Consider the following 14,686-nt stretch of genomic DNA (forward strand, 5'->3'; position numbering starts at 1 on the left):
TGGATCAGGAATTCAGGGCATGACGGGATTGGCTTGGCTCTGCTCCACGACGTGTGGGGCCTCAGCTGGAAGACCGGAAGACTGGAGGGCTGACGTTACCTGCAGGCTTCATGGAGGCTGGAGGCTTGGTTTCCCAGATGGCTCACTCACACGGCAGGCAAGTTGGTGCTGGTTATTGGCAGCCGGCCTCAGTTCCTCCTGAGCAGCTCTATAGGTTGCGTGGATGTCCTCGTGATGCGGCAGCTGGCTTGCCCCCGGAGTGGGGGCTCTGAGAGAGAGAGAGCAAGGCAGAAGCACAATGTCTTTTATGACCTAGCCCCAGAAATCACACACTGTCATTTCCATCACATTTAGTTTATTAAAAGCAAGTCCCAGCCAGGTGTGGTGGCTCATGCCTGTAATCCCAGCACTTTGGGAGGCCGAGGCAGGCGGATCACTTGAGGTTAGCAGTTTGAGACCAGCCTGACCAACATAGAAAAACCCCATCTCTACTAAAAATACAAAATTAGCCAGGCAACAGGGTGTGGTGGCTCACACCTGTAATCCCAACACTTTGGGAGGCCAAGGCAGGTGGATCACAAGGTCAGGAGTTCAAGACCAGCCTGGCCAAGATGGTGAAAACCTGTCTGTATTAAAAATACAAAAATTAGCCGGGTATGGTGGTGGGTGCCTGTAATCCCAGCTACTCTGGAGGCTGAGGCAGGAGAATCGCTAGAACCCGGGAGGCAGAGGTTGCAGTGAGCCGAGATCACTCTACTGCCCTCTGGCCTGGGCAACAGAGTGAGACTCCATCTCAAAAAAAAAAATTAGCCAGGCGTAGTGGCGCATGCCTGTAATCCCAGCTACTCTAGAGGCTAAGGCAGGAGAATCACTTGAACCCAGGAGGTGGAGGTTGCAGTGAGCCAAGATCACGCCACTGCACTCCAGCCTGGGCAACAGAGCGAGACTCTGTCTCCAAAAAAAAAAAAAAATTATTTTCACTTTTTCTGGCCAGGAACCTTGCTAGATGCGATAGGTCCAGAAATTAAAAACTGTCCTGCTCTTGAGAAAACAGCAGGTTAGGCCACGTGTGGTGGCTCATGCCTGAAATTCTAGTGCTTTCGGAGGCCGAGGTGGGAAGATTGCTTGAGGCAAGGAGTTCGAGATCAGCCTGGGTAACAGAGTGAGACTTTGTGTCTACCAAAAGTAAAAAAAATTAGCCAGGCATGGTGATGCAAACTTGTAGTCTCAGCTATTTGGGAGGCTGAGATGGGAGGATCACTTGAACCCAGGAGTTGGAGGCTGCAGTGAACTACGATCACACCACTGCACTCCAGGCTGGGTGACAGAATAAGACCCAGTCTCTAAAAACAAAACAAAACAAAAAAAAAAAAAAAAGAAAGAGAAGAAAGAAAAGAAATGAGTGTAGAAAGGGATCCTTTAAGATGAAATCGATGCCTCCTCATGGAGTTCTAAGCCCTCAGAAGTGGAAGTCAACTGGAGTGTGCAATTTTCTATCTTTCAACTAACCCAACAGTTTCTACCTCACCCTCCTGCCTTCCTAGGACTCTGTGCACACACCCACCAGAGTGTTATCACATTGCAAGACAGAACCCAATTGTCTCCTTTATCTCCTCTACCAGACTTTGTGCTCCATCAGTTGAAGAGTAGGATGAAGAAAAAAAAAAAAGGTTACATGAAGATGATGGAATTATAATCAGGCCTTGAAGAACGGAGACAATTCCAGCCATTGTTGTAGATGTGGAGGCTGAAGGACATTCCAATTTGAAGGAACAGAGTAAGTAAAGGAGGGTGGGGCCAGATCAAAGAAGACATGCAGGCCAGGCGCAGTGGCTCCTGTCTGTAATCCCAGCACTTTGGGAGGCCAAGGCAGGCGGGCGGATCACTTGAGGTTAGCAGTTTGAGACCAGCCTGGGCAACATGGAGAAACCCTGTCTCTACTAAAAATACAAAAATTAGCCGGGTGTGGTGGCTCACACCTGTAGTCCCAGCACTTTGGGAGGCTGAGGCGTGTGGATCACAAGGTCAGGAGATCGAGACCCTCCTGGCCAAAATGGTGAAACCCCGTCTCTACTAAAAATACAAAAATTAGCTGGGTGCAGTGGCAGGCGCCTGTAATCCCAGCTACTAAGGAGGCTGAGGCAGGAGAATCCCTTGAACAGGGGAGTCGCAGGTTGCATTGAGCTGAGATTGCGCCACTGCACTCCAGCCTCAGATAGAGCGAGACTTTGTCTCAAAAAATAAGTAAATAGATAAATAAATAAGTAAATAAATAAATAAATAAATGGGTTGTTGAATTTGAGATCTTTCTTCTTTTTCACTGTAGGCATTTACAACTATAAATATCCTTCAAAATATTGCTTTAGCTAAATCCTTTAAGTTTTTGGTATATCATTCAGTTTCATTTATCTCCAAGTAGTTTCTAATTTCTCTTGTGATTTCTTTTTCTTTCTTTTTTTTTTTTTGGAGATGGAGTCTCACTCTGTCACCCACCCAGGCTGGAGTGCAGTGGCACGATCCCTGCTCGCTGCAACGTCTGCCTCCTGGGTTAGAGCGATTCTCCTGTCTCACCCTCCCAAGTAGCTGGGGTTACAGGCATGCACCACCACGCCCAGCTAATTTTGTATATTCAGTAGAGACGGGGTTTCACCATGTTAGCCAGGCTGATTTTGAACTCCTGACCTCAGGTGATCCACCCACCTTGGTCTCCCAAAGTGCTGGGATTACAAACGTGAGCCACCATGTCCAGCCGTGATTTCTTCTTTGACCTATGAGTTATTTAGGACTGCGTTTAATTTCCACATAGTTTTAAATTTCTCAAATTTCTATTATTGATTTATTTTATATTTCATTTTATTTTATTCTGAGACAGAGTCTCGCTCTGTCACCCAGGCTGGAGTGCTGTGGCACAATCTCAGTTCACTGAGGTTCACTGCAACCTCTGCCTCCCAGGTTCAAGCGATTCTTGTGCCTCAGCCTCCCAAGTAGTTGGGATTACAGGCGTATGCCACCTTACCTGGCTAATTTTTTGTATTTTTAGTAGAGACAAGGTTTCATCACTTTGGCCAGGCTAGCCTTGAACTCCTGGCCTCAAGTGATCCTCCTGCCTCGGTCTCCCAAAATTTTGTGATTACAGGTGTGAGCCACTGTGCCTGGGCTCTATTATTGATTTCTAATTTTGTTTTATTATGGTTAGAGAATGTACTGTGTATGATTTCAATCTTTTTAAATATATTGAGACTTATTTTATGGCCTAACATATAGTTCATTCTGGAGAGTGTCCTTGTGGACTTGAGAAGAATATAGATTATGCAGTTGGCGGGTTGAATATTTTATAGATACCTGTTAGGTCTGATCAGTTTATACTGTTGTTCAAGTCTTCTATTTCCTTGTTGATCTTCTGCCTAATGACTTCTCCATTATTTAAATGGGGTATGGAAGTCTCCTATTATTATTACTGACTTGGGCTCTGACATTCAGAGTCTAAAAATGATTAGCCAGCCTAATGAAATCCCCACTGCTTAGGAGGGTAACAGTGAGAGAGAAAAGGATGCCATGCAGGAGGCTATGCGGGCCATGAAAGATGAAAGAGACAGTGGCCAGTTCCCAGCCAACCTCAAATTCTTAGATTTTCAGTTCCAGCCCACCTATGTCCTTATGGTATGTCCAAGCCCTTTTTTCCCCCTAAAATTTGCAGTTAGTTCTTGTTTCTTGCAAATGAAATACCAAACTACTCTAACAAGCACAGAATTCTATTCCAGGAGCGGGGTTGCAAGCAACAGAATCTCCAAAGAGGCATGGAATCTTCATAGTAACACAGGAGAGAGAGTCAGAGATGATTTCCATGTCCCTGAATGGGAGGTTAGAAGTCCATGGATTGATAAAACAGTTCGTAAAGTCTTAGTATTCAGATACTATGTCCTTTGAAAGTAAAGTTTTGGGCTGGGCGCAGTGGCTCACGCCTGTAATCCCAGCACTTTGGGAAATAAGGACAGGCGTGATGGCTCAGGCCTGTAATCCCAGCACTTAGGGAGGCTGAGTGGTGAGGATTGCTTGAGGCCAGGAGCTTGAGATCAGGCTGGACAACATAGTGAGACTCTATAACTACAGTTTTTTTTTTTTCAATTAGCTGGGCGTAGTGGCACTCTGTGGTCCCAGCTACTCAAGAGGCTGAGGTGGGAGGGTCACTTGAGCCTGGGAGATCAAGGCTGCCGTGAGCCGTGATCATGCCACTGCACTCCAGCCTTGGTGACAGAGTGAGACCTTGTCAAAAAAAAAAAAAAAACGGAGAAAGAGAGATAAGTAGAAGGAAGGAAATGAAAAAAAAAAGGAGGAATTAGGATGACTGGGTAGAATCAGAAAACAACATTCAGCCGGGCACAGTGGCTCACACCTGTAATTCCCAACACTTTGGGAGGCCTAGGCAGGCATATCACCTGAGGTCAGGGGTTTGAGACCAGAATGGCCAACATGGTGAAACCCCGTCTCTACTAAAAATACAAAAATTAGCTGGGCATGGTGGCATGTGCCTGTAATCCCAGCTACTTGGGAGGCTGAGGCAGGAGAATTGCTTGAACCTGGGAGGCGGAGGTTGCAGTGAGCCAAGATGGCACCACTGCACTCCAGCCTGGGCAACAGAGCAAGACTCCATCTAAAAAAAAAAAAAAAGAGAGAAAGAAAACAACATTCAAGGCCATTCTGTATACCAGCAAAAAAAACACATCTTTGTTGTTGTTTTGACTTTTTTTTTTTTTTTTTTTTGACAGAGTCTAACTCGTTCACCCAGGCTGGAGCTCAGTGGCACCATCACAGCTCACTGCAGCCTCTACCTCCTGGGCTCAAGGGATCCCTCCACCTCAGCCCCCAAAGTAGGAGGGACTACAGGCACACGTCACCATGCCTGGCTAATTTTTTATTTCTTTGTAGAGTCGAGATCTTGTTATGTTGCCTAGGCTGGTCTTGAACTGCTGGCCTCTGGCGATCCTCCCACCTTGGCATCTAAAAGTGCTGGGTACTTTGGGACATGAGCCACTGTACCTTACCAAAAAACACATTTACTACTATCAGCCAGTGATTGGAAAAGACTAAAAATTAGATCTCTAAAGTGAATATTGACTACATTCTACTTATGTTGAGTGGTGGGTTTACCAGTGTTTTTTTGTTTGTTTATTTATTTATTTATTTATTTATTTATTTATTTATTTATTGAGACAGAGTCTTACCTTGTCACCCAGGCTGGAGTGCAGTGGCGCGATCTCAGCTACTGCAACCTCCGCTTCCCAGGTTCAAGCGATTCTCCTGCCTCAGACTCCTGAGTAGCTGGGATTACAGACTCGTGCCACCACACCCGGCTAATTTTTGTATTTTCAGTAGAGACATGGTTTCACCATGTTGGCCAGGCTGGTCTCGAACTCCTGACCTCAAGTGATCTACCCACCTCAGCCTCCCAAAGTGCTGGGATTACTGGCGTGAGACACTGCATCCAGCCCAGTGTTCATTTATTTTTACGCATCATAATCAACAGGTATAATACAGAGTTATTTGTATATTTTAAAATACATTATAAAATTTACCTGCCAAATATTTTATAATACAAAAAGATACTGTAAATTGACAAATCACAGTATTTGCTAAGTTCACAACTGTGCTGGCTTTCTGTAGTTAACATTAAGATTTTGATTATCAAAGACTGAAATCCTGGAGGTTGGAAGAGCAATATCTTGAGGGCATGGGGCTTCCCAGTCCCCTGGGCCCCTCCAAGTAATTTCTCCTGTATTCATGATTGCCAAGCAAATGTGATGAGTCACTTCCTAATGAGGAACATCTGATCACAGGAATTTGGAAATATCATGCAACCATGGATGGTGTGCAAAATCCAAGCAGGGAAAAAAGGAATTAGAGGCTAATTTTCTAGGGAGTTGTTACAGCAGCAACTATGTGGACTCGAATCCTGTGGGGTTGTAATCAAGGAAGACAGACCAAATCAAGGATAGAACATTCATTTCCTTCCTGCCTCTTCCCTCCCTTCATTTCTCTTTGTCTCTCTCCCTCTCTCCACCCCATCCCCTCATTTCCCTTCTCCTGCACGTGGCCTGGTTGATCATACTTTTTTTTTTTTTTTTTTGAGACAGAATCTCACCCTGTCACCCTGCCTAGAATGCAGTGGAATAATCTCAGCTCATTGCAACCTCTACCTCCTGGATTCAAGCGATTCTCCTGCCTCAGCCTACCAAGTAGCTGAGATTACCGACGCGTGCCACCACGCCCGGCTAATTTTTATATTTTTAGTAGAGACAGGGTTTTGCCATGTTGACCAGGCTGGTCTCGAACTCCTGACCTCAAGTGATCTGCCCGCCTTGGCCTCCCAAAGTGCTGCAATTATAGACATAAGCCACCATGTCCTGCCGATACTGGTTGTTGAAATACTGAAAAGCTTTCCTAGCAGTTGGTAAATTACTGCCAACAGCCTCCTGAGTTCCCCACCCCATCCACCTGCCTCCAGGCCCCCAGACCTCCCTCTTCTTATTTTTATTTTTTATTTTTTGAGACGGAGTTTTGCTCTGTCATCCAAGCTGGAGTGCAGTGGCACGATCTTGGCTCACTGCAACCTCTGCTTCCTGGGTACAAGCAATTCTCCTGCCTCAGCCTTCTGAGTTGCTGGGATTACAGGTGCACACCACCACGCCTGGCTAGCTTTTTTAGTAGAGATGGAGTTTCACCATGTTGGCCAGGCTGGTCTTGAACTCCTGACCTCAAGTGATCAGCCCACCTCAGCCTCCCAAAGTGCTGTGATTACAAGCATGAGCCACCGTGCTGGCCAGACCTCCCTCTCTTTCAGCAACTAAAGAGTTAATCCCCAGCATAGCTGTTGATCTCCAGGAACAGGACTTAGTGCTAAAATCAGTGTCTGTTCTAAATGGCTGCCGGCCATGTGGTAACCAGCTGTGAAATATTTTGAATATCACCCCTGGCTGTGGCCACAAAAAGGCAAAAGCCAAGTAGGTGTGGTAAATTTGCTGCAAGAAATGGCCTAACATACTGAGTTGAGGTTTTGGCTTCTGTTTGAAGTAGTGGCAGGAACAGAGCAGATGGGCGGGCCTGGGTTCAGCTTGGTTTGTAAAACAAGATAATTCCTTAGCTTAATGAACAAAGATCTAAGTCAAGTCAACACACTACATAGTCACAGTCCTTCTAGCCTTAACCATCCCTTCTCTCTTTTTTTTTTTTTCGTAGAGATGGGATCTCACTCTGCTGCCCAGGCTGGTCTCCTCCTGCCTTGGCCTCCCAAAGTGTTGGAATTACAAGTGTGAGCCACTGTGCCTGGCCCTGAATAAGTTTCTTGACCCAGAGTTCCTGAAGAGGAGGATGGGAACCTTGGAGGCTGTTTCTCCAGGCTGGTTAGTACCAAAGATGGACAGGACTTGAAAAATAATGGAGGATTACCTTGGGCTTAATTACGTGGGTACTTGATATGCTGTCTTCAATTTAGAGAAAGGGTCTCACTCTGTTGCCCACAGTGGAGTACAGAGGCACAACCACAGCTCATCACAGCCTCAAACCCACAGGCACGGATGGACACAGTGGCTCATGCCTGTAATCCCAGCACTTTGGGAGGCCAAAGTGGGTGGACCACCTGAGGTCAACAGTTTGAGACCAGCCTGACCAACATGGTTAAACCCCGTCTCTACTAAAAAAAAAAAAATACAAAAATTAGGGCGTGGTGGCGGGCACCTGTATTCCCAGCTACTCGGGAGGCTGAGGCGGGAGAATTGCTTGAACCCAGGAGGCAGAGGTTGCAGTGAGCCGAGATCACGCCATTGCACTCCAGCCTAGGTAACAGAGAGACTCCGTCTCAAAACAAATCAAAACAAACAAAAAAACCCAAACAAACAAATAAAAAACTGCAGGCACATGCCACTGCACCTGGCTAAATTTTTTTTTAATTTTTTTAATTTTTTTTTTTAAAGAGATGGCATTTCACTATGTGGCCCAGACTGGTCTCCCAACTCCTAGCACCAAGCAATTCTCCCTCCTTAGCCTCCCAAAGTGCTGGGATTATAGGCATGAACCATTGCACCTGGCCTCTGTTTCTCTTTACCCATCCCAGCTATTTATCTTTACCTGGAAGGGGTAGCAGTATCCTTTCACAGGGACCTAGTCCACTTTACCTAGGGACCAGCCATCTAGGTTTACCTGAAACTGTTATTCGGGCACTGAAAGTTCTGCATCCTAGGAAGCCCCCAGGTCCCTGGCAAACTGGGATGGTTGATCACACTAACTGACTCCTCTGTAGGATGTCATCCTGATCGTCATTGACAATATCATGCTGATTTGCCTTGGACTTGAAGTATCAAAGATCCCCCAGGTCTTGCTGAGACGTGGATGTAATGGGGTTGTGAGATATAACTGGCAGAAATGCAAGGACCTGTCACATCAGTAGAGCTTAGAAAATCATTAGTAATGAATAGTAAGTTGTAATGAATATTCATTAGTAATGAATAATAATTAGCAATGAATATTCCTTAGTAATATAAGATCTCCTTCAAAATGTGGGGGATGGGAGGGCAGAGAATGAAGGACAAATTGCTGCATTTTATTTATTTTATTTTTTGAGACAGGGTCTTGCTCTGTCACCCAAGCTGGAGTGCAGTGGCATGATCATGGCCCACTGCTGCCTCAACCTCCAGGGCTCAAGTGATCCTCCCACCTCAGCCTCCCACCTCAGCCTGTGGAGTACCTGGGACCACAGGTACACACCACCACACCCAGCTAATTTTTATTTCTTTTTAAAAATTATTATTATTTTTGTTTGTTTGTTTGAGACAAAGTCTCGCTCTGTCATCCCGGCTGGAGTGCAGTGGCGCGATCTCGGCTCACTGCAAGCTCCACTTCCTGGGTTCACGCCATTCTCCTGCCTCAGCCTCCCGAGTTGCTGGGACTATAGGCACCCGCCACCACACCCAGCTAATTTTTTTGTATTTTTAGTAGAGACAGGGTTTCACCGTGTTAGTCAGGATGGTCTCGATCTCCTGACCTCATGATCCACCTGCCTCAGCCTCCCAAAGTGCTGGGATTACAGGTGTGAGCCACCACGCCTGGCCTTAAAAATTATTTATTAATTTTTAAATTTTTTTTCTTTCCAATCATTTGTCACAGTCATATTATTTTTAAATTATTTGTAGAGATGTGGGTCTCCCTATGTTGCCCATGCTGGTCTTGGACACCGGAGCTCAAGTGATCCTGTCTTGGCCTACCAAAGGGCTGGAATTACAGGAATGAGCCACTGCATCAGGCCAACTTGCTACATTTTATACTTTCAACTAATAAGGAATTCTGGAAGCAGCATCTACCTCTATTTTAGCAGGGCTTTTTTCACTGCAAGAAACAAAAAAGTTCACTCAACAAAGCTCAAGTAAGAGAAAGAGATAGATAAGGGAGACCTGATCTCTTAGAACTAAGCCATAGTGGAATCAGAATTCATGTAGGTTGAAACCCAAGGAAGTTCTGAGTCCAGGAAAAACTCTAGGTGCTTCACAATAGGAATTGGCGAATGGGCCAGACACGGTGGCTCACACCTGTAATCCCAACACTTTGGGAGGCTGAGGCGGGCAGATCACAAGGTCAGGAGATGGATACCATCCTGGCTAACACGGTGAAACCCCGTCTCTACTAAAAATACAAAAAAATTAGCTGGGTGTGGTGGCACACGCCTATAGTCCCAACTACTAGGGAGGCTAAGGCAGGAGAATCGCTTGAACCTGGGAGGCAGAGGTTGCAGTGAGACGAGATTGTGCCACTGCTCTCCAGCCTGGGCGACAGAGCGAGACTCCATCTCAAAAAAAAAAAAAAAGGAATTGGTGAATGTTCCCTCTCCCTCCAAGTGTCAATGTGATTTAGCCACCACCTACCACTTGTTAGTGTTTGTCTCCTTCTACCCGGTTCCACATTTCTCACCTAAAAGGCCCAAGAAAGAAAATCTGATTAATTTATCTTTTCATATTTATTTATTTTTTAAGATGGAGTTTCGCTCTTGTTGCCCAGGCTAGAGTGCAATGGCGCGATCTCAGCTCACTGCAACCTCTGCCTCCTGGGTTCAAGCAATTCTCCTGCCTCATCCTCCTGAGTAGCTGAGATTACAGGCATGCACCACCACCGCCCGGGTAATTTTGTATTTTTAGTAGAGATGGGGTTTCTCCATGTTGGTCAGGCTGGTCTTGAACTCCCAACCTCAGGTGATCTGCCCGCCTCGGCCTCTCAAAGTGCTGGGAATACAGGCATGAGCCACCGCGGCCAGCCTATCTTTTCATTTTTTAAAACTTATGTTTTAGGTTGGGTTTTGTTTTGTTTTGTTTTGTTTTGTTTGGAAACAGGGTCTCACTCTGTTGCCCAGGCTGCAGTAGTGCAGTGGCATGATCATGGCTCACTGCAGCCTTAAACTCCTGGGCTCAAACAATCCTCCCACCTCAGCCTCCCTAGTAGCTGGCTACCACACTGGCTAATTATTTTACTTTTTATTTTTTGTAGTGATGGAGTCTTGTTGTGTTGCCCAGCCTGGCGTCTAACCCCTGGCCTCAAGCGATCTTCCTGCCTTGGCCCCCCAAAGTGCTGGAAGTATAGGCATGAGTCACCACGCCCAGCCAAATTTGTGTCTTATTTTTAATAAATTTGGACGTGGTCGTAATTTAAAGAGTTAAATACTTCCAAAGACATGTTAGAAAAAAGAGAAGATCCTTTTCAACTCTCCTCCATTTTCAGCTCCTCAGAAGTAAGCATTTTTTCAGTTCTTATAGCTGATCTTTTGTTATTTGGTTTATATTTATATGTCTAAATAATACAGTTATGTCTTTAGCTCTTGGTTTTTTTTTTCAGTATTACCTATTATCTATTGACTTACCGTGTGGACAGTGAGGGTTAGCTCTCTTTCACTTCCCAGTCACACACACCAGTCACACACACACACACCAGTCACACACACACACACCAGTCACACACACACACACACACACACACACACTTCCCATCCCACCATCCTCTGAACACAGACAGTCCCCCAATTTAGGATGGTTTGACTTAATGATTTTCTTAACTTTACAATGAGTTAATCAGGACTCAGTCCCATCATAAGTCAGGGAGCTAGGATGGTTTGACTTAAGGATTTTCTTGATTTTATAATGAATTAATCAGGACACAGTTCCATCATAAGTCAGGGAGGCTCTGTATTTGTCATTTTAGTTAGAAAGAGATTTAGGATTTTATGTATGTGTGTGTATATATATACACACACATATATGTATACATATATATATAAGTATATATGTATATGTGTGTATATGTATACACATATATATACGTATATGTGTGTAAGTATGTGTGTGTGTGTGTATATATATATATATATATAGAGAGAGAGAGAGAGAGAGAGAGAGAGAGAGAGAGACGGAGTTTCACTCTTGTCACCCAGGCTGGAGTACAATGGTACGATCTCGGCTCACTGCAACCTCCGCCTCCTGGTTTCAAGCGATTCTCCTGCCTCAGCCTCCCAAGTAGCTGGGATTACAGGCGCCCACTGCCACGCCCAGCTAATTTTTTTTTTTTTTGGTATTTTTAGTAGAGACGGGGTTTCGCTATGTTGGTCAGCCTGGTCTCAAACTCCTGGCCTCAGGCGAGCCACCTGCCTCGGCCCCCCAAAGTGCTGGGATTACAGGTGTGACCCACCGCGCCTGTCCTAGGGTTATATTTTTATAAGTGTATATATGCTATTCATAATTGAGCCATTTGTTTCCCTTGGAGTTAATAATTGCCTTATCTTTTGGTTTGCCGATGTTTCTAGGTATTAATCCTAATTGAATCCCTGCTGTAAAATAAGTCTTCTCATTATGTTCAAACATACAGAGTAGATTGTCACAGGGCAGTGAAGGCATATTGCTGCACCTGCTAGGTGAAGGTAAATTATTAGGTCTTCAGTCAGTTTCATCTTCTTGAAGGAATCCCTCCAAGAACCTTCTGATTTGTTTCTTTTTTTTTTACCTTTTTAAAAATCTTATTGCCTGCTCTCTGTGAAACCTACCTTCTGATCTTCTCTACTTTGGACTAGCTGCTTTCTAGGGCAGCAACTCAGCTGTCATTTTGGGGTCTCCTCTCACTATTACCCTAGGGACTCCCTTCGTCTTTGTTGAATTGGATACCCTCACTCATGGATCCCAAGTCTTCTTTCTTGCTTTATCGCTTTACGTAGGTGGTGTACTCTACTGATAGCTTCCTGAGAATGTTCAGGAAATGTTCAAGACTGTGTAGCAGAGAATGTGACTAATTCCACCAGTATCCTTCCATTCTTCCATAGTAATAGAGTTTTTATCTAGGCATAAAACCATCCAAAGGCCAGGCACTATGGCTTACACCTGTAATCCCAGCACTTTGGGAGGCCAAGGCAGTAGGATCACTGGAGCCCAGGAGTTCAAGACTAGCCTGGGTAACATAGGGAGACTCTGTCTCTACAAAAAATGAGAAAATTAGCTGGGCATGGTGGCATGCGCCTATAGTCTCAGCTACTCCAGCAGCTGAGCTGGGAGGATCACTTGAGCCCAGGAGGTCCAGGCTGTAGTGAACCATGATTGTGCCACTGCACTCCAGCCTGAGCAACAGAGTGAGACGCTGTCTCAAAAAAGAAAAAAAAAAAAGATAATTCAAAATAAAGTCTATATTTCTGCATTTTCCACCCTACCTTGTAGCTTGGTGTGGCCATGTGACCAAATTCTGACCAATGGGATGCAAGGAGAAGTGAAAGTTCTTTGGAAGAACTTTCTGAAGAAATAGCTGGCACATGCCCCTGGTGCCTTCTTCATCATCTCTTCTTTTATTTATTTATTTATTTATTTTTATTGATCATTCTTGGGTGTTTCTCGCAGAGGGGGATTTGGCAGGGTCATAGGACAATAGTGGAGGGAAGGTCAGCAGATAAACAAGTGAACAAAGGTCTCTGGTTTTCCTAGGCAGAGTGTGTGTGTCCCTGGGTACTTGAGATTAGGGAGTGGTGATGACTCTTAACGAGCATGCTGCCTTCAAGCATCTGTTTAACAAAGCACATCTTGCACCACCCTTAATCCATTTAACCCTGAGTGGACACAGCACATGTTTCAGAGAGCACAGGGTTGGGGGTAAGGTCACAGATCAACAGGATCCCAAGGCAGAAGAATTTTTCTTAGTACAGAACAAAATGAAAAGTCTCCCATGTCTACTTCTTTCTACACAGACACAGCAACCATCCGACTTCTCAATCTTTTTCCCACGTTTCCCCCTTTTCTATTCCACAAAACCGCCATTGTCATCATGGCCCGTTCTCAATGAGCTGTTGGGTACACCTCCCAGACGGGGTGGTGGCCGGGCAGAGGGGCTCCTCACTTCCCAGTAGGGGCGGCCGGGCAGAGGCGCCCCTCACCTCCCGGACGGGGCGGCTGGCCGGGCGGGGGGCTGACCCCCCACCTCCCTCCCGGACGGGGCGTCTCGCTGGGCGGGGGGCTGACCCCCCCACCTCCCTCCCGGATGGGGCGGCTGGCCGGGCGGGGGGCTGACTCCCCCACCTCCCTCCTGGACGGGGCGGCTGGCCGGGCAGAGGGGCTCCTCACTTCCCAGTAGGGGCGGCCGGGCAGAGGCGCCCCTCACCTCCCGGACGGGGCAGCTGGCCGGCTGGGGGCTGACCCCCCCACCTCCCTCCCGGACGGGGCGGCTGGCCGGGCGGGGGGCTGACCCCCCCACCTCCCTCCCGGACGGGGCGGCTGGCCAGGCGGGGGGCTGACTCCCCCACCTCCCTCCCGGACGGGGCGGCTGGCCGGGCAGAGGGGCTCCTCACTTCCCAGTAGGGGCGGCCGGGCAGAGGCGCCCCTCACCTCCCGGACGGGGCAGCTGGCCGGGCAGGGGGCTGACCCCCCACCTCCCTCCCGGACGGGGCGTCTCGCCGGGCGGGGGGCTGACCCCCCCACCTCCCTCCCGGACGGGGTGGCTGGCCGGGCGGGGATCTGACCCCCACCCCCCCGCCTCCTTCCCGGACGGGGCGTCTCACCTGGCGGGGGGCTGACCCCCCCACCTCCCTCCCGGACGGGGCATCTCGCCTGGCGGGGGGCTGACCCCCCCACCTCCCTCCCGGATGGGGCGGCTGGCCGGGCACGGGGCTGACCCCCCCCACCTCCCTCCCGGACGGGGCGGCTGGCCGGGCGGGGGGCTGACTCCCCCACCTCCCTCCTGGACGGGGCGGCTGGCCGGGCAGAGGTGCTCCTCACTTCCCAGTAGGGGCGGCCGGGCAGAGGCGCCCCTCACCTCCCGGACGGGGTGGCTGGCCGGGTGGGGGGCTGACCCCCCCACCTCCCTCCCGGATGGGGCGGCTGGCCTGGCAGGGGCTGACCCCCACCTCCCTTCCGGACGGGGTGGCTGCCGGGCGGAGACGCTCCTCACTTCCCAGACGGGGTGGCAGCCGGGCGGAGGGGCTCCTCACTTCTCAGATGGGGCGGTTGCCAGGCGGAGGGTCTCCTCACTTCTCAGACGGGGCGGCCGGGCAGAGACGCTCCTCACCTCCCAGACAGGGCGGCGGGGCAGAGGCGCTCCCCACATCTCAGACGATGGGCGGCCGGGCAGAGACGCTCCTCACTTCCTAGATGGGATGGTGGCCGGGAAGAGGCGCTCCTCACTTCCTAGG

General features: G+C 48.1%; 1 long non-coding RNA gene across 1 annotated transcript; it reads left to right on the forward strand.

The window, feature by feature from the left end:
• The first annotated feature begins 404 nt into the window (after positions 1-404).
• On the forward strand, positions 405-12,677 carry LOC107986829 (uncharacterized). Its single transcript, XR_001745301.2, has 4 exons — positions 405-442; positions 1,623-1,777; positions 7,234-7,397; positions 10,525-12,677. It is a non-coding gene; the product is annotated as an uncharacterized LOC107986829 (long non-coding RNA).
• The last annotated feature ends 2,009 nt before the right edge of the window (positions 12,678-14,686 follow it).

Source organism: Homo sapiens, chromosome 7 (assembly GCF_000001405.40).
Source record: "Homo sapiens chromosome 7, GRCh38.p14 Primary Assembly".
NCBI lineage: Eukaryota > Metazoa > Chordata > Mammalia > Primates > Hominidae > Homo > Homo sapiens.